The 21,324-nt window shown below is 41.0% G+C and overlaps 1 protein-coding gene across 8 annotated transcripts, besides 5 other annotated features; it reads left to right on the top strand.

Moving 5' to 3' along the window:
• Positions 2,621-2,820: an enhancer, noted in NCBI's record as "active region_14526". NCBI's record gives its function as "activates an Ori minimal core promoter by ATAC-STARR-seq in GM12878 lymphoblastoid cells {active_cell/tissue: GM12878}" and the evidence as "EXISTENCE:reporter gene assay evidence [ECO:0000049][PMID:35858748]".
• Positions 2,621-4,051: a biological region, named in NCBI's record as "H3K27ac hESC enhancers GRCh37_chr19:37018470-37019180 and GRCh37_chr19:37019181-37019889".
• Positions 2,632-3,340: an enhancer, noted in NCBI's record as "H3K27ac hESC enhancer chr19:37019181-37019889 (GRCh37/hg19 assembly coordinates)". NCBI's record gives its function as "activates a minimal SCP1, AML or CMV promoter by ChIP-STARR-seq in naive H9 embryonic stem cells {active_cell/tissue: H9 hESC(naive)}" and the evidence as "EXISTENCE:reporter gene assay evidence [ECO:0000049][PMID:30033119]".
• Positions 2,971-3,600: an enhancer, noted in NCBI's record as "active region_14525". NCBI's record gives its function as "activates an Ori minimal core promoter by ATAC-STARR-seq in GM12878 lymphoblastoid cells {active_cell/tissue: GM12878}" and the evidence as "EXISTENCE:reporter gene assay evidence [ECO:0000049][PMID:35858748]".
• Positions 3,341-4,051: an enhancer, noted in NCBI's record as "H3K27ac hESC enhancer chr19:37018470-37019180 (GRCh37/hg19 assembly coordinates)". NCBI's record gives its function as "activates a minimal SCP1, AML or CMV promoter by ChIP-STARR-seq in naive H9 embryonic stem cells {active_cell/tissue: H9 hESC(naive)}" and the evidence as "EXISTENCE:reporter gene assay evidence [ECO:0000049][PMID:30033119]".
• Positions 3,348-20,932, top strand: ZNF260 (zinc finger protein 260). 8 transcript variants are annotated; one of them, NM_001375598.1, is made up of 4 exons: positions 3,348-3,400; positions 6,246-6,464; positions 15,920-15,969; positions 16,354-20,932. In NM_001375598.1, the coding sequence occupies exon 4, from the start codon at positions 16,381-16,383 to the stop codon at positions 17,617-17,619; it is 1,239 nt and encodes a 412-aa protein (NP_001362527.1). In that variant the 5' UTR covers positions 3,348-3,400; positions 6,246-6,464; positions 15,920-15,969; positions 16,354-16,380; the 3' UTR covers positions 17,620-20,932. The 8 variants fall into 8 exon arrangements, with proteins under 8 accessions (NP_001362527.1, NP_001159508.1, NP_001012774.1 ...); NM_001166036.2 differs by adding an exon at positions 14,226-14,333 and having other exon boundaries at positions 15,920-20,932; NM_001012756.3 differs by adding an exon at positions 13,476-13,589 and having other exon boundaries at positions 15,920-20,932.
• Positions 20,933-21,324: the final 392 nt, after the last annotated feature.

Raw genomic sequence — 21,324 nt, 5'->3', positions numbered from 1 at the left:
ACCCAGTCTGAAGAATGTTGGCTTATAACACCCCTTGGCATACCTCTTCACTACCCCAGAGGTAGAGTTAACACAGAGTAATCTCAGAGAGTAACAGAAACCTAAGGCAATCTGGGCATGTTTCCTCTGTGCAACCAAAAAGAAACTAAGTAGCACTGCTATCATTTATTAACTACTTACTATTCTTTCATTAATCAAATATTTACTGAGAGCCAACTATGTGCTAGCCATTGTAAATGGTGAAGATGGAACAACTAAACAAAAAGACAAGTCCCTTCTTTCACAAGCTTGAGTCTAGTTACAATGAAGAAAATTAAAGTGCAACTACACATTTCATGCATAGATAGGTAGAATATACATATCTTCTAATCAAATTGCTTTCACACAACATATATAACTTAAAATCCTCTATTTTCATTTAATATGACATTGTAAACTCTCATCTCCTTCCTTCCATTATAAATGCATGGTTATGGCCGGGCATGGTGGCTCACACCTGTAATCCCAGCACTTTGGGAGGCCGAGGCAGACGGATCACCTGAGGTCAGGAGTTTGAGACCAGCCTGGCCAACATGGTGAAACCCCATCTCTTCTAAAAATACAAAAATTAGCCAGGCATGGTGGTGCACGCCTGTAGTCCCAGCTACTCAGGAGGCTGAGGCAGGAGCATCACTTGAACTCAATAGGCAGAGGTTGCAGTGAGCTGAGATTGCGCCACCGCACTCCAGACTGGGCAACAGAGCAAGTTTCTGTCTCAAAAAAAAAAAAAAAAAAATGCATGGTTATGAGATAGCTGCTCTGCATGTAGCACAATATCCACATTCCAGACAGAAAGGGGAAAAAGAATGTATGCACACTGAGCCTGCCCCACCCCATCCCCATACCTTTAAAGAACTGCCTGAGTGGCCAGGTGCAGTAGCTCATGCCTGTAATCCCAGCACTTTGGGAGGCCTAGGCAGGCAGATCACCTGAGGTCAGGAGTTCGAGACCAGCCTGGCCAACATGGTGGAAACCTCATCTCTACTAAAAACACAAAAATTAGCCGGGCATGGTGGCAGTCGCCTGTAATCCCAGCTACTCAGGAGCCTGAGGCAGGAGAACCGCTTGAACCCGGGAGGTGAAGGTTGCAGTGAGCTGAGATCACGCTACTGCACTCCAACTTGGGTGACTGAGTGAAGACTCCATTTCAAAAAAAAAAAAACTGTCTGAGAAGCCCAATCTAAGAACTTTAACTTACATCAACAGGAGAAGCTAGAACACGTAGAGTTTGGGTTTTTTGTTTGTTTTCTGTTTGTTTTTCTTTAAGCAGAGCAAACAAGATCAGGACTTTTATAGCAATAAAGAAGGGAATGGATATTGGGTTAGCCACATATGTGGCAAAACAATTAACAGTATCTACAATTTAATATATTCTCAAATAGCTTTCAATTATGTAGGAAGTTAAAATATCACTTAAAACATGAGATACATTTCAATATGTGCATATACAAATATGTGTATGTATATTTATGTATATGCATATATATCTACATATGTATATAGGTAAAACCAAACTAAGCATACATGATAAACTGAACCATTTGCTATATTAATAAGACAAAATTAGGAAGATTTTTCCAAAGAGTAACAGAAGATTCCAGGTTACTTGATAAGTCCTTTTAGGCATTTGCTAAGAAAAAAAAAATCAGCCGGGCGCAGTGGCTCATGCCTGTAATCCCAGCACTTTGGGAGGCCGAGGTGGACGGTTCACAAGGTTAGGAGTTCAAGACAAGCCAGGCCAACATAGTGAAGCCCCGTCTCTACTAAAAATACAACAACAAAAAAATTACCCGGGCGTGGTGGCCGGCACCTGTAATCCTAGCTACTCGGTAGGCTGAGGAAGGAGAATCGCTTGAACCTGGGAGGCGGAGGTTGCAGTGAGCCGAGATCGCGCCACTGCACACCAGCCCGGGCGACAGTGCGAGACTCCATCTCAAAAAAAAAAAAAATCAGGTCCTGGAAAAATAAAGCATTTCAGGAACAAAGAGAAAACTTCAAGGCACCTTAAACATGGCTTTTAGATATCACAACCGTTATTTCCTCTCCTCTGGGGAACCTCTCTTGGAGGACAGAAATGAGAAGGGAGACAATACACCTCCCCTAGGGCCCAAATGACAAGGCCAGAGCTTACTCTGCGTTCCCCTCCCCCGCCATGGGAGGGCTATCAGAGGAAACTGGGGCTTCCAACTCAAAACTCAGTGTCATAGAAAAATCCCCTTTACTATCACGGGGCCGAGCTGTCTTCTGCTCTCACATATGACTATGTGTGACATTTGGTCAAAGACACACAAACACAGTCTCAACTCCACGCACACCCAATGCTTCACAGTCACACACCCACCACTGTACACAAAGTCACAAGCACCCACCCTCCATACTCCCACACAAGGACACAGAGTCACAACTACATAAGTACAAAGCTCCCTATATCTGCACACAAACGAACATATGGTCACAGAGTTACAATCACACACCCACCGCGGGCACACAGTCACAGCTAACCCACACCCTCACACAGCGTTACACAGTCACACAATAACAGTCCTAACACAGGGACTCACGGGACACCCGCAGAGTCCTCCCCACATCCGTACACAAGGTGTCACACACAATCACAATCACACACACACTGTGCTAGGACATACATTCACAAAAACACAATTTCACAACCGCCCTTCTCGGCGCGTTCCGCCTGAACAGACTTAATACTCAGTCTCAACCTCCGCACCGGATTCCAGACGCTTCACCTCCAACCTCCTCCTGATCCTGTAGTCTCCGAGCCGACCCGCTCAGAGGCCAGCACCTGGGTCGCGTGCAGCTCTCCCCCGAGCCGCGGGAGTCGCGAGGGGAGGGGCCGAGGGCGCGGCGCCTTCTGGGAAATGTAGTTCAGCGCCACGCCCGCGATGAGCAAGATGGCGCCCGGCTTGAGCCCAGCCAAAGGGATTACCCTCATTCCCGAACCGTGTCTGAGAGTCTCCTGGGGTTCCTGGCTTAGTATCGCACCGTGGCTGTTACATAAAGTCAGCACAGCGTGTTTAAGCTGATGTTACACCACTACCCAATCCCAGGGATAGAGTAAACTAAGACTAAGGCCTTACACCCCTGCCCCGGCCAGGGAGACAGTCCCACAAGCTCTGGCGGAGGAAAAGTTCGCGCGAAAAGCTGACTCAAACCGCTGAACCTTCTGGGAAATGTAGTCTACCCTCAAAAGAGTGGCACGGAGGACGGGCCAAGATCTCTCGATTCCGTCCGGTTCTGAGTCGGGGCCTGGCCCAGCCCAGGAGACCTCTGGGAGCGCTGCCCGCGGAAGGAGTGCGCAGGCGCGGAATCTCCGACTTGCCATGGTCGTCTTTGTCTGCCGGTGAGTTGGGTTTCGGCCCTGTGGGACTTGGGTTTCTGGACACTGAAACGGGCCAGGGACGCTGGAGGGGAGGATTTGCAGTGCCTGCGACGGGGCTGGGAGTATGGAGGGGAGGAATCGCCTTCTATGATGTGCGGTGATCCGAGCTTGTGTGGCTGGGGGCAGGGGTACAGTTCGGGTGGGTTCGCGGGTGGGTGACCGAGAGTGTGAGGGGGTGTTGAGGGTGCAGAGTTAGTGAGAAACTGGTTCCAAGTTTGTGAGGATGGACGGATGGCTTTGTGAGGTAGTAACCTCTAAGCCTCACTTTTCTCATTTCTAAAATAATAAAGATGCGTTTTCTGGAAAATAGGAAACGGAAAAGGCTAAGGAATTGAGCGGATAAGTAATTTTAAAGGTGATTTTTTATATAAAAGCAGACCTATTGTGGAGTAGAAAACAAAATCAGCATTACCTTTCCATTATTTTTTTAAAGAGGCAAGATTTCGGAAAAACTTGTTACTGGGTGCCTGTACACCCAGTAGGCATTGACTTTTCTTAATACTTTGGAGAAACTTTGGTGCAGTTGCTTGGAGAAACCCTGAACTAAGGAATATCTTTAAGAGGTAGTTTCCAATAGCGCAGACGGCACAGAATTTGGAAGCTACTTGTCCTGCCTTTAGCGCAGAGGTCAAGAAACTCCCTAGTTCGTCAGTGAGGGCAGCAATCTCACTCCTAATTTAATCAGGGTTTCCCCAGCCTTTTGTAAATATAGGGGAAATTCTTTTCTTGTGTATACAAAGATAGAAGTATCCTATCTTCAAGTATCTTGTCACACTTATTCTTAACATATCAACATATTCAAGTATCTTGTCACACTTATTCTTAACATATTTTTCAATAAAATAAAAAAGTAACAGGGTTAATAGTTTTGAAATATACAGAAAAAGTAAAAGATACAAAGAAGACAGGACTTAGTTTCTGCTTTTCCCCTAACTATTGGTGTTTCTAAGTTTCTGGCCTTGATCATCTAAGTACTCCTATCAGCAACAACATTACACTGCCATCCATGGCTTCATCTAATACAGATGACTAATAAATGTCTGTTTCTGCTGGAGGCTTGTCCTGAGCTCCTAATCCATATTATCTAATTGCCCAATGTGCAGTCCACCTGGAAGTTACAGGGAACTTCAAGCTCTTTATGTCTAAAGGGCTCCTTCTTCCTGCAGTCTGCCTCCATCTATTTCCCCTCTGTACCTGTTTCAGCAATTTATAGCACTGTCTAGCCAGGTTCTAAGGCACTTACATCTTAGAGAAGGCTTCTAAGTAAGTTTGATCCTTTGATTTGTTATATCCCATTACAAATTGTAAACCAAGGTTTCTCAGCACACATAATCATAAATGTATATGTTTGCTGAATCAGTGAATGAACAGTCAGCCCTCTGTGTCTGTAGGCTCTGCTTCCACGGATTCAACAAACATGAATCATAACTGTTGTTAAGCTTGCGATGGTTGTATCTGTACGTGTACAGATTTTTTTTTCTTGTCATGATTCCCTAAACAATACAGTATAACAACTATTTACCAGACATTTACGTTGTATTACGTATGATAAGTAATCTGGAGATAATTTTAAAGTATATGGGAGGATGTGCATAGGTTATATGTAAATATACTTCCATTCACTTTATTTTTATTTTTTTGAGATGGAGTCTCACTCTGTCACCCAGACTGGAGTGCAGTGGTGCAATCTCGGCTCACTGCCACCTCTGCCTCCTGGGTTCAAGCGATTCTCCTGCCTCAGCCTCCCAAGTAGCTGAGGTACAGGTGTGTGCCACCATGCCCAGCTAATTTTTTTATTTTTAGTAGAGACAGGGTTTCACCATCTTGGCCAGCCTGGTCTCGAACTCCTGACCTCAGGTGGTCAGCCTGCCTCAGCCTCCCAAAGTGCTGGGATTACAGGCGTGAGCCACCATGCCTGGCTTTATATTTGAAGTATAAGGGACTTGAGCATCTGCAGATTTTGGTATCCACAGTGATCCTGGAACCAATCTCCTGTGATATCAAGGGAAGATTATTATTATAGGACACTTACTATATTTAACTTCTCCTAGTTAATCTAAGTAAAATATTAGTCCTCTAAATTTTTTAGAGCTCTGACCTATAAATACCATCAGAATAATTTCCTGTATTTTTTTCCATATCACTCAAGGTTGGTTACTTCAGACTTATGAGAAAAGTGTTATGGGGAAAAATTATATGCAAAGATGTGACTTCACTCAGGAGCAAGGTCACAAGTGACACCTGCTCGAAGGAACCTATACAGGTTGTGATTGTGGATAACTCTGGCATCTTAGTCTCTCATAGTTTCTCTGTGTAACCTAAATTCTGAAAATAAGGTCCCTTCTGTTTCTCATTTTTGAAATGTTTAGAGCTTTTTTTTTTTTTTCCTTCCTTGAGATGGAGTCTCCACTGTCGCTTAGGCTGGTGTATAGTGGCGTGACCTTGGTTCAGTGCAACCTCTGCCTCCTGGCTTCAAGTGATTCTCTTGCCTCAGCCTCCTGAGTAGCTGGGACTACAGGCATATGCCACCACGCCTGGCTAATTTTTGTATTTTTAGTAGAGACAGGGTTTCACCATGTTGGCCAGGCGGGTCTCGAACTCCTAATCTCAAGTGATCTGCCTGCCTCGGCCTCCCAAGGTGCTGAGATTACAGACGTGAGCTTCCATGCCCGGCCATTGAAATGTGTAGAGCTTTTGAATGGCATAATGGGTCTGGCCTGAGGTGCTATGTACAAATACTGTTTTTCCATTTGCTCACATGTAGGTCAAAGCCAAAGAATCATCATTACTTTGTTCTTTTTCACAGGCCTGCTTCCTTGTATATCCACAGGAGCTGCAAAACCTCTTAGAGTTCTAAGGGCGCTCCCTGAATTTTGGGATGCTGCTTTGTTCCCCAACCATAACATCCAAGTCCAGTGTCATTTTTCTGCTCACAAGTTTAAAGTCAGCACTTAAAAGAACAGCAACAGATGATTGAGAAAGAAATGTAAAGAAGGTTCTCTTTGTGTGAGTAAGCAAGAACCTGGTAGGTATGAATGAGATAAAGACTTATTGCAGTTATTCAGTGAGAATTTGCAGCCTCTGAGTTGTTGTGGGGTTTTTTTGTTTGTTTGTTTGTTTGTTTTTTTGAGATTTTCGTACTAGCCTTTGTCTTTTAGAGTGACTGTTGCTGGGAATTCTTTAGATACCTAAATGACATTTCCAGACTGTCTTCCTGAATCTATGCATCCCTTTTATCAGATTCTAGAGGACTGATTGCTCTTCTAAAATCTATTCTGGATGCCAGTCATTCTACATCATTTGCAGCCTCAATTTTATGATTTTTTTACAGCCTCAATTTCACTTTTCTTCCTTTCACTAACATTCTCCATTTTTCACTTTTCCCTGTATGCCTAGATGCGTTTCCTTAAGCATTCAGTCCTTCATAGATCTGTTAGTTTTCAAAAACTAGCATGTCGTTAAGAGTCATCACCACTCCCTAATCTTAAGTACCCAGGGACACAAACACTGCGGAAGGCCGCAGGGTCCTCTGCCTAGGAAAACCAGAGACCTTTGTTCACTTGTTTATCTACTGACCTTCCCTCCACTATTGTCCTATGACCCTGCCAAATCCCCCTCTGCGAGAAACACCCAAGAATGATCAATAAAAAAAAAAAAAAAAACTAGCATGTAAGTTATTTTCTTTAAAATGTAATCATTCTGGCCAGGCGTGGTGGCTCACGCCTGTAATCCCAGCACTTTGGGAGGCCGAGGCTGGCGGATCACGAGGTCAGGAGATCACGACCATCCTGGCTAACACGGTGAAACCCCGTCTTTACTAAAAATACAAAAACAAAATTAGCCAGGTGTGGTGGCGGGCGCCTGTAGTTCCAGCTACTCAGGAGGCTGAGGTGGGAGAATGGCGTGAACCTGGGAGGTGGAACTTGCAGTGAGCTGAGATTGTGCCAGTGCACTCCAGCCTGGGCAACAGAGTGAGACTCTGTCTAAAAAATAATAATAATAAATAAAATAAATTAATCATTCTATGTATAACTATTATGTATCAATAAAAAAACTTTCAAAGACTAGCAAGTAGATTCTTTTCTTTACATTTTAACTTTCTATCATTCTTTCTCCTTCCATTGTTATATTCCTCAGAATTGAATTTTGCTTCCTTACTCTTGTTTTCTATTGTCTTCCTACCTCCAGCCATCATAGTTCAACACTATGTCACCTCCTGCTTTTTAACAATATTACAGGCTTAGGGATTAGTGCTGACTTCCTATTAGTTCATTACCCTGTTAATTTTAAAAAGAAATAATAATGGCTGGGTATGGTGGTGCACGCCTGTAATCCCAGCACTTTGGGAGGCTGCGGCAGGTGGATCATGAGGTCAGGAGTTTGAGACCAGCCTGACCAACATGGTGAAACCCAGTCTCTACTAAAAATACAAAAATTAGCCTGGCGAGGTGGCACACGCCTGTAATCCCAGCTACTCAGGAGCCTGAGGCAGAAGAATCACTTGAACCTGGGAGGCGGAGGTTGCAGTGAGCCGAGATCATGCCACTGCACTCCAGTCTGGGCGACAGAGTGAGACTCCCATCTCAAAAAAAAAAAAAAAAAGAAATAATACTATTATTATCAAAATTTAATATGTATACTTGATAGAAAATTAAAACAATCAGGTATGTCTCTTCATTCCTGGCCCTCAATCCCCTGTTTCCCAGAAGCAGCCACTGTTAACAGTGTCTGCTGTATGCTTCTAAATGTTTTTATGAGGATACAAAAAGGCTTTCAAGTAGAGCAGTGATGTGATTGGACTGTGACAAGATTACTGTGGCTGCTGTGTTGAGAACTGTAAAGAGTTGAAAGCTAAAGTAGCAAGACTGGTAAGGAGGCTGTTAAATAATCCTGGCAAGACATGTGGCTTAGACCTTGGTGGTCACAGTGAGGATTGTCCAAAATAGCCAGTAAGCTACGAGGTTGTAAAGAGTGTGCAATCTGACTGAAAGAGAAGTATTGTTTGAGCAGCAAGGAGAATGAGATTGCTATTTAAAGAGATGAGAAGAATTTGAGAGGAGTTGGTTTGGGAGCTGGAGCAAGAGTTTGAATAGGGGCAGGGTAAGTTAGATCACTATTAGACATCCAAGTGGAAATGTTGAGTAGTCAGCTGGATATTTGAATTGATTGTTGAGGAGAGAGGTCCAGGCTGGTGATTAGTATTTGTTAGGCATCTCAGATTCATGATATGTAAAGCAATAAGAAGTGTACTAATCACAGTAAAGCTAAGTGACTATAATAAACTTCAAAGTGCCAGTTTAAGGAATGTAGGAATTGATTTCTTGGTCACATAACACTCATGTGGTGAATAGTCCAGATTTGCATGCTAACTTTGGTGCTTATGGTCCCTGAAACATATGGATTCCTCCGAGGTTCTCTCTTTATTATCTGGTTGTGGTTGGAGCTGGATCAACAATGCAACCTGGTTTCAGCCAGATAGAAGATGGAGGAATTGCTACTCTAGGACAGGAGTTCAGCAAGCTTTTTCTGTAAAGGGCCAGATGGTTAATATTTAAGTCTTTGTAGGCTACAGGGTCTCCATTGCAGCTACTTATCTCAAGCATTATACTGTGAAAGTAGTCATGGACAAGAAAATAAATAAACATGGCCATGTTCCAGAAAAACTCTTTTAGTTTGCCAACCTTGTGGTGTTTTTTTTTATTTTATTTATTTATTTATTTTTTGAGATGGAGTTTCACTCTTGTTGCCTAGGCCAGAGTGCAATGGTGTGATCTCGGCTCACTACAACCTCCATCTCCCAGGTTCAAGCGATTCTCCTGCCTCCACCTCCTGTGTAGCTGGCATTACAGGAACATGTCACCACGCCCAGCTAATTTTTTGTATTTCTAGTAGAGACAGGGTTTCACTATGTTGGCCAGTCTCGTCTCGAACTCCTGACCTCAGGTGATCCACTCACCTCGGCCTCCCAAAGTGCTGGGATTACAGGCGTGAGCCACCGAGCCTGGCGTCAACCCTTGTTTTAACAGGTCACTATTTACACATAATACAATTAAGAGTTTGCTTGCCATTAGAGCATTTTGACTTATATTTTGAAAGCATTTTTCATTTTATTTTATTTTTTTTATTTGTTTGAGATGAAGTCTCACACTGTCACCTGGGCTGGAGTGCAGTGGCGCGATCTCGGCTCACTGCAAGCTCTGCCTCCCAGGTTCAAGCGATTCTGCTGCCTCATCCTCCCAAGTAGCTGGGATAACAGGCGCCCACCACCAAGCATAGCTAATTTTTTGTATTTTTAGTAGAGACGGGGTTTCACCATGTTGGCCAGACTGGTCTCAAACTCCCGACCTTGTGATCTGCCTGCCTCCACCTCCCAAAGTGCTGGGATTACAGGCGTGAGCCACCGCACCCGGCCTTATTTTATTTTTTTAGACAGAGTCTTGCTGTGTCACTCAGGCTGGAGTGCAGTGGCACAATCTTGGCTCACTACAATGTCTGCCTCCCGGGTTCAAGCGATTCTTTTGCCTCAGCCTCCTGAGTAGCTGGAATTTACAGATGCCCACCACCATGCCTGGCTAATTTTTGTATTTTTAGTAGAGACAGAGTTTCACCATGTTGGCCAGACTGGTCTCGAACTCCTGACCTCAGGTGATCTGCCTGCCTCATCCTCCCCAAGTGCTGGGATTACAGGCGTGTGCCACTGCACCTGGTCCTGAGAATATTTTTTAAACCATGGGATAAATGTTGAAAGAACCATTTTACTTGTTGTTCTGATTATGTTTTCTAGTTCAGTTCAGCATTGTCATTTACAGTGTTAAAAATTCAATTCTGATAAGTGTGTGAAGGATGTAGGGTTTTAATTACAAAGGAGATGTAATTTTTAATTTTCTTTTGGATTGTTTGGAATATAGTAGCATAAGTCCTGATCTGTTATGCATCATACCAATTTTCATGAATTTTTTAAAAGTAAGTGGAAAACAAAATAAATAATACCATTATCTAATCAAAGTTTAGTAAAATTCACATGCTAAGCCATCCATGCCTTGGGCTTTAAGGGGCAAGAGCTCTATTTTTTCCTTCTTTCTTTCTTTTTTTTTTTTTTGAGACAAGGTCTTACTCTGTCTCCCAGGCTGGAGTGCAGTGGCATGATCACAGCTCACTGCAGCCTTGAACTCCTGACTCAAGTAATCCTCCTACCTCAACCTTCTGAGCAGCTGGGACTACAGGCACCTGCCACTACGCCCACCTAATTTTTAAATTGTTTGTAGAGACAGGGTCTCACGGTGTTGGCCAGGCTGGTCCTTTTTTTTTTTTTTTTTTTTTGAGACGGAATCTCGCTCTGTCACCCAGGCTGGGGTGCAGTGGGGCGATCTCAGCTCACTGCAACCTCTGCCTCCCAGGTTCAAGTAATTCTTCTGCCTCAGCCTCCAGAGTAGCTGGGACTACAGGCGCCCGCCACCACGCCTAGCTAATTTTTTTTGTTTTTGTCTTTTTAGTACAGACGGGGTTTCACCATGTTAGCCAGAGTGGTCTCGATCTCCTGACCTTGTGATCTGCCTGCCTTGGCCTCCCAAAGTGCTGGTCTTGAACTGCTGGGCTCAAATGATCCACCTGCCTTAGCCTTCTAAAGTTCTGGGATTACAGGCGTGAGCCACCACACCCAGCCCTATTTTGTACTATGTTTATGTTTCTGTTTAGGTTTTCTGTCTTTTCTGGTTTCAGTTCGCATCGGTTATACTTGCTAAGTTTTCTATTTGCATGGGGTTTAACAAAATAGTCTGTACTATCCATATTTTCTATCTATAGTTATTTCCAAATATCTTTTTCTTTTTTACTCTTACTTCTTTTAAGTTTTTCCTTAAGAATCCACTCATGAATTTATTATTTCTCTTTTTCTGTTTGTAATACATTAATTTCTTTTTCCTATTTTTACTAATTTTCTGTTTTTCTTTCCTTTTTCTTTCTTTCTTTTTTTTTTTTTTTTGAGACAGAGTCTCACTCTGTTGCCCAGGCTGGAGTGCAGTGGCACAATATTGGTTCACTGCAACTTCCTCCTCCTGGGTTCAAGCATTTCTCCTGCCTCAGCCTCCCGAGTAGCTGGGATTACAGGCGCACACCACCACACCCGGCTAATTTTGTATTTTTAGTAGAGATGGGGTTTCTCCATGTTGGCCAGGCTGGTCTCGAACTCCTAACCTCAAGTGATCTGCCCACCTCGGCCTCCCAAAGTGCTGGGATTACAGGCGTGAGTCACCACACCCGGTCTGTTTTTCTTATATTTACTTTTTCTTATGTTAATTACTTTGAGTGCTTATTTTATTACTTTTTTTAAAATGATGTAAGCTTTTATGCTAAAACTTCATTCTCCAAGCATTAATTTTCCCTGGCCAAAGGGTTTGTTCAAACCAATAGATTTTGAAATTTACAAGTGAAAGGTTTTGTTTTTGTTCTGTCATTTCTATGTGTTGGGTTTTTTGTTTTTTTGGTCAGAGTATTTTGTCCATCCTTTACTACTTTGTGGAACAGGCTACTGTATGGGCTGATTTTCAGAATGTTCTTTGGGCATTTAAAAAGGTGGTTTATAATCTATTTTCAAGATATAGGATAAACTGATTAATAAAATATGTTATAAATGTGTATACATTTTTCTTTTTATTTATATTGTATTTTATGGATTTGAATTCAGAGGTTGAGAGTGGTTGTTTTCTCAGTTACTAACGGGGTTCTGAAATGTTACCCCCAGTATGTTATACCCATACTTCCCCTTCTGACTTCTGATACTAGTAAGATCACTGCTTTTTTATTAAAGCATTTGTAAGCATTTACGTAACTATAACACTGTAAGCATTGTTGACTGGTAAACCAAATGATTTTCTATGACTCTGTTTGATTTCTTGTATAACCTTTTGCTTTTCTTTTAATTAATATTTGCTTCTTTGTTTTGTTTGCTTAGTTTTCCATTTTTGTGTTTTGATTCTTCCCAAGCTTTCAGACAGAACTGTAAAACCTAGAAGTCTAAGTTGGAAGTAACTTATGGTTAGGATTATCCATTGTCTTGCAATCTGATGCCTTTTTGATGTGGTATGTCTTTTTCTTTTATTTCCTTTTATAGGATAAATGTTTTGGAACATTTAGGATTTTTTTTTTTTGTTAAGACAAGGTCTCACTCTTGCCCAAGCCGGAGTTCAGTAGGGTAATCATAGCTCACTCTCCTGGGCTCAAGCCATCGTACCATCTCAGCCTCCCCAAGTAGAAGGGAGTACATGTATATGCCACCACACCCAGATAATCTTTTTTATTTTTAGTAGAGACAAGATCACACTGTGTTGCACAGGCCGGTCTCAAACTAGGATCCTCTTTTTATCCCTAGGTGAAATTTTGTATTGATGTGCTTTCGCCGCTATCTTTTTAAATGGAATGTTCTTTGTACTCAATGGGCCTGCTAAGTATGTGGACTCATGATTTGTAATTCTGGGAAGTGTTCTTTATTAGCTCTTTGAAAATGTCCTGTATTCATTTTTCTTCATACTTTCTTTGGAACTTCTTTAGTAGATGCTGATCCTTCCAGATTCTTCCACTAACCCACTAAATGTTCCAACCATTACACTCTTTCTTTCTGCCTTCCTCCATTCTTCCTTTTTTTATTCTAGGAGATTTTCTAGACTTTCTTTCCCCAACATACTGAATTTTTAAGATCAATTTCATATTGTTTATTTCTAAAAACACCTCTTTATAGAACACTGTTAATATTTCATTGCAGTGATAATAGTAATCTCCTAACTTTCCATGATATTAATTGTAGTATTATATGGGTGAGTTTTTCTGCTCTTTGCCTTGTATTTTGTTTGATCTGCCTTTGATGTTAGGACTTTCATCAAATGTTTTCTGATCTTTAGCTCTATATTAATTTGTGTATGTAAGCGGGGCTTATGAAATGGTGGTTTTCACTGTGCATCAATCAGTAATATAGATGTGTTTCGTTAGATGATTCCAAATGTTAGCATCTGTAGGTGTTCTCATGGTCTTCTCATTTTTTCAGAAAATAATTCTTCCGGGCCGGGTGCGGTGGCTCATGGCTGTATTCCCAGCACTTTGGGAGGCCAAGGCGGGTGGATCATGAGGTCAGGAGTTCAAGACCAGCCTGGCCAACATGGTGAAGCCCCGTCTCTAACTAAAAATACAAAAATTAGCCGAGCGTGGTGGCGGGCACCTGTAATCCCAGCTACTCGGGAGGCTGATGCCGGAGAATCCCTTCACCCGGGAGGCAGAGGTTGCAGTGAGCCGAGATCGCACTGCACTCCAGCCTGGGCAACAGAGCGAGACTCCGTCCCAAAAAAAAAAAAAGAAAGAAAGAAAAAAGAAAATAATTCTTCCATCATCTGACAGCTAGTAACCACCAGCATTCTCGGACTCTAACAGTAGAAGAGCCTCTGTTATGTGTATAAACTTTTACTCATTCTTCTCTTACTAGGATGCTCTCATTACTTTGCTGGTCATCACTAAATTTGGAGCCTCTTGGTTTTGTCTGGATGATAAACTTCACATTTCTGTCCAGCTAGGAGAGTTCAGGGCATTAGCTGGTCCTTTCACAGTCATTTTGTAAGCCCTGCCTTCCACTCTTGCCCAGTTTCTCCACTGACAGAGCATATCTGTCAATATCTGTGTTACAGACCTGTGAAGGTGGCCCCCACATCTGCTGGCTTTTCTTTAAACCACTCAGTTCTGCTGTTAATTTACAGTTCTCTATTTGCTTTCTTTCCAAAATTTCCTAATACTTTTTTTTTTTTAGAGACAAGGTCATACTCTGTCACCTAGGCTGGATTGCAATGGCATGATCATAGCATACTGCAGCCTCGAACTCCTGGGCTCAAGCGATCCTCCTACTTCAACCTCCCAAGTAACTAAGACTACAGGTGTATGCTACTGCACCTACCTAATTTTTAAAATTTTTGTAGAGATAAAGCCTTGCTGTGCTGCTTAGGCTGATCTCAAACTCCTGGCCTCAAGCAGTCCTCCTGCCTTGGCCTCCCAAAGTGCTGAGATTACAGGAAGGAGCCACTATCCCTAGTCCTCCTAATACTTTTTGTCCACTGATATCTTCTTAACCGTTTAGTTCTTATGTGTCCTTCTTCACCCTTTTACTGTCATTTTAATGGTGTTTCGGGAAGACATAGAAATAAGCACCTTATTTAAACTTTTCTGTTCATTTTATTTTTGCCCTGTCTTCCTATGCACTCCCAGTCTTTTAAGTATTTGTCCTTTCATCCTGTTTCTCACCGATTCCTTATGTTTTAAAGACCAAGTCGGCCGGGCGCAGTGGCTCACGCCTGTAATCCCAGCACTTTGGGAGGCCAAGGCGGGCAGATCACGAGGTCAGGAGATCGAGACCACCCTGGCCAACGTGGTGAAACCCCGTTTCTACTAAAAATACAAAAAATTGGCAGGGCATGGTGGTGGGCGCCTGTAGTCCCAGCTGCTCAGTAAGCTGAGGCAGGAGAATGGCGTGAACCCAGGAGGCGGAGCTTGCAGTGAGCCGAGATCATGCCACTGCGCTCCAGCCTGGGCGACAGAGCAAGACTCCGACCCAAAAAAATAAAATAAAAGACCGAGTCTTGCACTGTCACCCAGACACTGGCACGATCATAGCTTATTGCAGCCCTGAAATCCTGGGCCTAAGCAATCTGCCCACCTCAATCTCCTCAGTAGCTAGGACTACAGGCACCATGCCTGGCTAGTTTTTAAATTTTTTATAGAGACGAGAGTCTCGCTGTGTTACCAAGGCTGCTCTCAAACTCCTGGCCTCAAGCAATTTTCCTGCCTCACCCTTCCAAAGTGCTGGGATTATAGGTGTGAACCACCATACCTAGCCTTATTTTCTCTCATTTTACTGATTTATGAAGTGTGCTGGGTTACATTGAAAAGCAATTAAAATTACACATACCTGGGAATGTTATTTGTATTTGAACTTTATTTTATAATGAGACTAGGCTTGGATAAAGAATCTATTTTACAGCCGTGCGCAGTGGCTTATGCCTGTAATCCCAGCACTTTGGGAGGCTGAGGTGGGCGGATCACCCAAAGTCGGGAGTTTGAGACCATCCTGGCCCACATGGAGAAACCTTGCCTCTACTAAAAATACAAAAATTAGCCAGGCATGGTGGCGGGCTCCTGTAGTCCCAGCTACTCGGGAGGCTGAGGCAGGAGAATTGCTTGAACCTGGAAGGCAGAGGTTGCGGTGAGCCAAAATCGCGCCATTGCCCTCCAGCCTGGGCAACAAGAGCGAAATTCCATCTCAAAAAAAAAAAAGAATCTATTTTACAGTAATACATTTCTGAAATTATATTAATAATGGGAAACTTCAAAGGTGTTAGTGATATTATGTTGATGATAATGATAACCTAATTTATTGGACGCTTATTACATGCCAGGCACTATATATTATATTAACTTTTTCAATTATGATTTTTTTGTACTTCCTTTTAGAAGAAGCCTGGGAAGTTTATAAACAGATAAAGACGCAACATGAAAGACTTGTAAGTTAAGTCTCATCTTTCTCTGTGAAAAGACAGACTGAGGGAAAATTTAGGAAACAAAGTATTTCCTCTGAACAGTCATTGATTCTTCAAGACTACCCTTCTGTGTATGGAACTCAGTTTAAAAGAATTTGAAACCTAATTTATATACAATCTATACCTAAATATGGGAGAAGCTATATAAGAACCATTAAGAATATAAAGAGAATGTTACATTTTATCCCTTTTTGTAATCATCTCATCTCAGGGTAATCAATGTGAGAAAAGTCTTCCATCATAAATTTAACTTCATTAGATACCTGAGAATTAATATTGAAAATACACCATATGAATTTAGTGAATGTGGGAAAGCTTTCATCCTTATTACATCTTATTTGATACTAGGGAAATCTCCTGATTAAATTCACATGCATGATAGGCATGTTGGAAAGTCTTCAGCATGAATCAGATCTCCTTCAGCATGATCAAATTCATACTGGAGAGAAACCTTATGAATGTAATGAATGTAGAAAAACTTTTAGCCTGAAGCAAAACCTTGTAGAGCATAAGAAAATGCATACTGGAGAGAAATCTCATGAATGCACTGAATGTGGTAAAGTGTGCTCTCGAGTCTCATCTCTTACTCTACACCTTAGAAGTCACACAGGAAAGAAGGCATATAAATGTAATAAATGTGGAAAAGCCTTCAGCCAGAAGGAAAACTTCCTTTCTCATCAGAAACATCACACTGGAGAGAAACCTTATGAATGTGAAAAAGTTTCTATTCAGATGCCAACCATCATCAGACACCAGAAAAATCATACAGGAACCAAACCCTATGCATGTAAGGAATGTGGCAAAGCCTTTAACGGCAAAGCATATCTCACTGAGCATGAGAAAATTCATACTGGAGAAAAACCATTTGAATGTAATCAGTGTGGAAGAGCCTTCAGCCAGAAGCAATACCTCATTAAACATCAGAACATCCATACTGGAAAGAAGCCCTTTAAATGTAGTGAGTGTGGAAAAGCTTTTAGCCAGAAGGAAAACCTCATTATACATCAGAGAATCCATACTGGAGAGAAACCTTATGAATGTAAAGGGTGTGGGAAAGCTTTCATTCAGAAGTCAAGCCTCATTAGACACCAGAGAAGTCACACAGGAGAGAAACCTTATACGTGTAAGGAATGTGGGAAAGCCTTCAGTGGCAAGTCAAATCTCACAGAGCATGAGAAAATTCATATTGGAGAGAAACCCTACAAATGTAATGAATGTGGAACAATCTTCAGGCAGAAGCAATACCTCATTAAACATCACAATATTCATACAGGAGAGAAACCCTATGAATGTAATAAATGTGGAAAAGCCTTCTCTCGAATCACATCACTTATTGTACATGTGAGAATTCATACAGGTGATAAGCCTTATGAGTGTAAGGTCTGTGGGAAAGCCTTCTGTCAAAGCTCATCTCTTACTGTGCATATGAGAAGCCATACAGGTGAGAAACCCTATGGTTGTAATGAATGTGGGAAAGCCTTTTCTCAGTTCTCAACCCTTGCTCTGCACATGAGAATCCATACTGGTGAAAAACCTTATCAGTGTAGTGAATGTGGGAAAGCTTTCAGCCAAAAGTCACATCACATTAGACACCAGAGAATTCATACTCATTAAAGTTCTCTATGAATGCCTTGGATTTAGCAAAACGTTCAGCAGATTTTACACTTAATAGTGTATTGGAAAATTCATTTTACATTAAAGTGACATGAATGTGGGAAGTCCTTCAGCAGCAATTCAAAACTTAAATACTATGATGTTTAATAAGTATTATAGTGTAAAGAAAACCCGTACCCCCAAAACTCCCACAACAAGCATTATCAATGCTGTACTTCTAGGAGTATACTCATTAAAGTTAGGATCTAGTCATGGACACTACTTAATGTGTTCCTGGAAGGCCTACAGATGCATTAAGAAATAGATATGAGATGTATGAGGATTTGAAATTAAGAGACAAAATTATCATTTTTGTGATGTTTTGCTACATATATGAATTGTAAAACTAGAATCATCAAAATTATTTGTTGTTGAAGCAGTCATAAAACTGAGACTGAGACAGAATATTGAATTCAGAAATGTGTGCATGAATATATGGGGAATTGGTAATTGATAGAGGCGGTATCCCAGATTGGTGGGGAAATCATGGATTACTTAAAAATTAATTGACTCTTCATATGGAAAAATAATATCTCCCATCATAATATAAAATATTTTTCTTATGAATTCTTAAAGTACTAAAGACTAAAATGCAAAAAGCAATACTTAATAATATAACAGTTTTATAAGAAGATGTTTTTAAAACCTTAGGGCAGGAAAGAACTTCTAAAACATTCCAGAATACCCGGTAGTTCCACTCTTGAGTATGGTAGTCCCCTATTTTCTGCAAGAGATGGACTCTAAGACCCCCAGTGGATACCTAAAACCCAGATAGGACCAAACTCTATGTCTATGTTTTTTTCTTATATATACATACCTATGATAAAATTTAGTTTACAGATTAGACACAGCAAGAGATTTAAAACAATAATAAACATAATATGGAACAATTATAACAATATACTGTAATCATAAAAGTTATGTGAATATGATCTTTCTCTCAGAATACCTTATTGTACTGTTCTCAACTATTTATGAACTGTGGTGACTACAGGTAACTGAAACCATGGAAAGCAAAGCTGTGGATAAGGGGGAACTACTATATATATGCATCTACCCAAGAAACATGAACACAGGGAGTCATGTACTGGTCTATAGCTGTATAGTTCATTGCACCATGAGTTATAGTAGCCAGAAGTTGGGAAACAAATGCTGTCTCTTGTGAAATAGATGAATAAAATGTGATAGTAACATAGTAGAGTACTCTCTAGCAGTTAAGTGACAAATTAAGTCTATATATTAACAGAAATATTTTTAAAAAATTAGAGTGAAGAAAAATGATGAACATATTGTAATGATGCTTCTGTGAATTTGAATAAAATCAACACTAACCAGCCCTAGTACTAAGAATTGGTTATGGATAAATTATGTAAAACTAAAGAATGGATTGAAAGGATATGTATATACTCAGTTCCCAAAAGTGGAGTGGTTACCTCTAGGAAGAAAGGAGGTGGAAGGGAAATGTTACCAAGCATGGTAGTTAAAGGATACTTCAATTTTGTATCTATTTCTTATTAAAAAGAAACATTCTAAGTAAACATAACGAAATATTAATTCTGGGTGGTGGTAATATTTGTGTTCATTCTATCATTCGTGCTATTTATTTCCTTAAACTTCTGAAAGTTAAAAAGTCCAGATAGGAGTGAGGAAGCTGTACATGAAACATAATGGACTTACATTCCTAGTCAGATACTAATATTCTGTAGAAGATATTTCTAAAATCTTATCTTTAAAATATGAAATAATTTTTAATTGGGGTGGCAACTTAAATTCAATTAAAATAACTCATGTGTCACAAGAGTAAATTTTACATAATCTGTACGTAGTTCTAATCTGTATATAGTCTTGGAGGTTATGATTTGCCACAGATTGGTTGGATCACATACATTTAAGGATCATATTATTAAATAATATATGCACAGACATGGAGAGAATTAGTTTTTACTAAAACATTTATCAGAAATTTTAATACTCTGCATAACCAGTATTAGCATTAGAAATTAGCCACTTTTAAAATGAGAAAACTGTGTCACTCTTCAATTTTTTTATAAGCCATTGAGGAAAACATTAACTCCTGGATTTCAGCTTCACTTTTAACCTGCAGACTAAATTTCTTTCTCAATTATGTCAGACACACCCAAGTCAATCCCAACCCCCTTGTTACCTTGGGAAGACCGTGCTGAAAAAGGAGATCTTCCACCTAAACAGTGTTCTCTTATTTGAAGCAAATCTTTTTGAGAATTTGTTTACTTGATTTCTTTCCACAATAAACTGACAGAGAACGCTACTAATGATTTTTTTTTTTTTTTGAGACGGAGTTTTGTTCTTGTTGCCCAGGCTGCAGTGCAATGGCACAATCTTGGCTCACTGCAACCTCTGCCTCACAGGTTCAAGTGGTTCTCCTGCCTCAGCCTCTTGAGTAGCTGGGATTACAGGCATGCGCCACCATGCCCGGCTAATTTTGTATTTTTAGTAGAGACGGAGTTGCACCATGTTGGCCAGGCTGGTCTTGAATTCCTGACCTCAGGTGATCCACCTGCTTCGGCCTCCCAAAGTGCTAGGATTACAGGTGTGAGCCACCACGCCTGGCTAATTTTGTATTTTTAGTAGAGATGGGGTTTCTCCAAAGGCTGGTCTTGAACTCCCGACCTCAGGTGATCCGCCCACCTTGGCCTCCCGAAGTGCTGGGATTACAGGCGTGAGCCACCGTGCCCGGCCTGATGTTTTTGAATGATTATGAAAATGGGTATACAGCATTAAAACCTTAGACTGATTTTAAATATATTAATTTCTTTTAAACTCAATATAATGTTAATATTACTGTAGCACTTACTAGCATTTCTGAAGGTTGGTCTTGAGATAAGATTGAAAATGACAGTTGTTGATTTTCTGAGGTAATATACCCAAATAAAATATATGTATGTGTACATGAATCTAAACTGTCTTCTTCTGTTCCTCATTTTGCTTTACTTAAATAATCTTTCATATTTTTTAAGTGTTTTGCCCATGTGCTTGGGTAGCCTTGAAGTCACCAGAATAACTAGGACTCAAATTCAGACCAAACCAGGACTAGCTTTTTGTGCCATGAGTTAGCCATGGTCCTGGACCCAGCAAAAAGAATGATTATGATGGTCAGAGTAAGATGAGCAATTGCAACATAATATTCTCTAATATTGTATACTGTAAATTTATTCAGCTGCCCTCGTTTACTCACAGTTTGCTTATTTGCCACCATAAGAAATGGTACAATAAAAATTCATGTAATCACCCCTTAGATTTCAGTTGTTTTTATTTCTGTGGGTCAGATTACAGGGAAGGGATTGGTAGATCAAAGGATTGATGTTATTTTAAAATTTTTAATAGATGTTGTCAGAGTCAGGTCCAAAAGAACAACATATCCTCTGGCTCTACAATAGATCCTATGATGCTACTTAATTGTATGCTTCTTTGATGAGTATAAACCTCACTTGCTCCCAGATTTGCCTCTTTGAGAGTTTTCATATTGTTAGCTCATTTTTCTATAGGATTATTTGTCTTTTTGCCTCCCTTTTTCTTTTCTTGAGTTAAGGTCTGGCTCTATTGCCCAGGCTGGAGTATTGTGGCACAATCTTGGCTCACTGCAACTGCCACCTCCCAGGCTCAAGCCATCCTCCCACCTCAGCTTCC

Source organism: Homo sapiens, chromosome 19, assembly GCF_000001405.40.
Source record: "Homo sapiens chromosome 19, GRCh38.p14 Primary Assembly".
In the NCBI taxonomy this organism is placed as follows: Eukaryota; Metazoa; Chordata; class Mammalia; order Primates; family Hominidae; genus Homo; species Homo sapiens.
Note: the sequence above shows the minus strand (reverse complement) of the source record. Positions and strands in the feature narration are given on the sequence as shown.

What these genes read in the sequence shown, in the direction of transcription:
- ZNF260 (NM_001375596.1), top strand. Translation starts at nt 16,381, where the DNA reads ATGATAGGCATGTTGGAAAGTCTTCAGCATGAATCAGATCTCCTTCAG.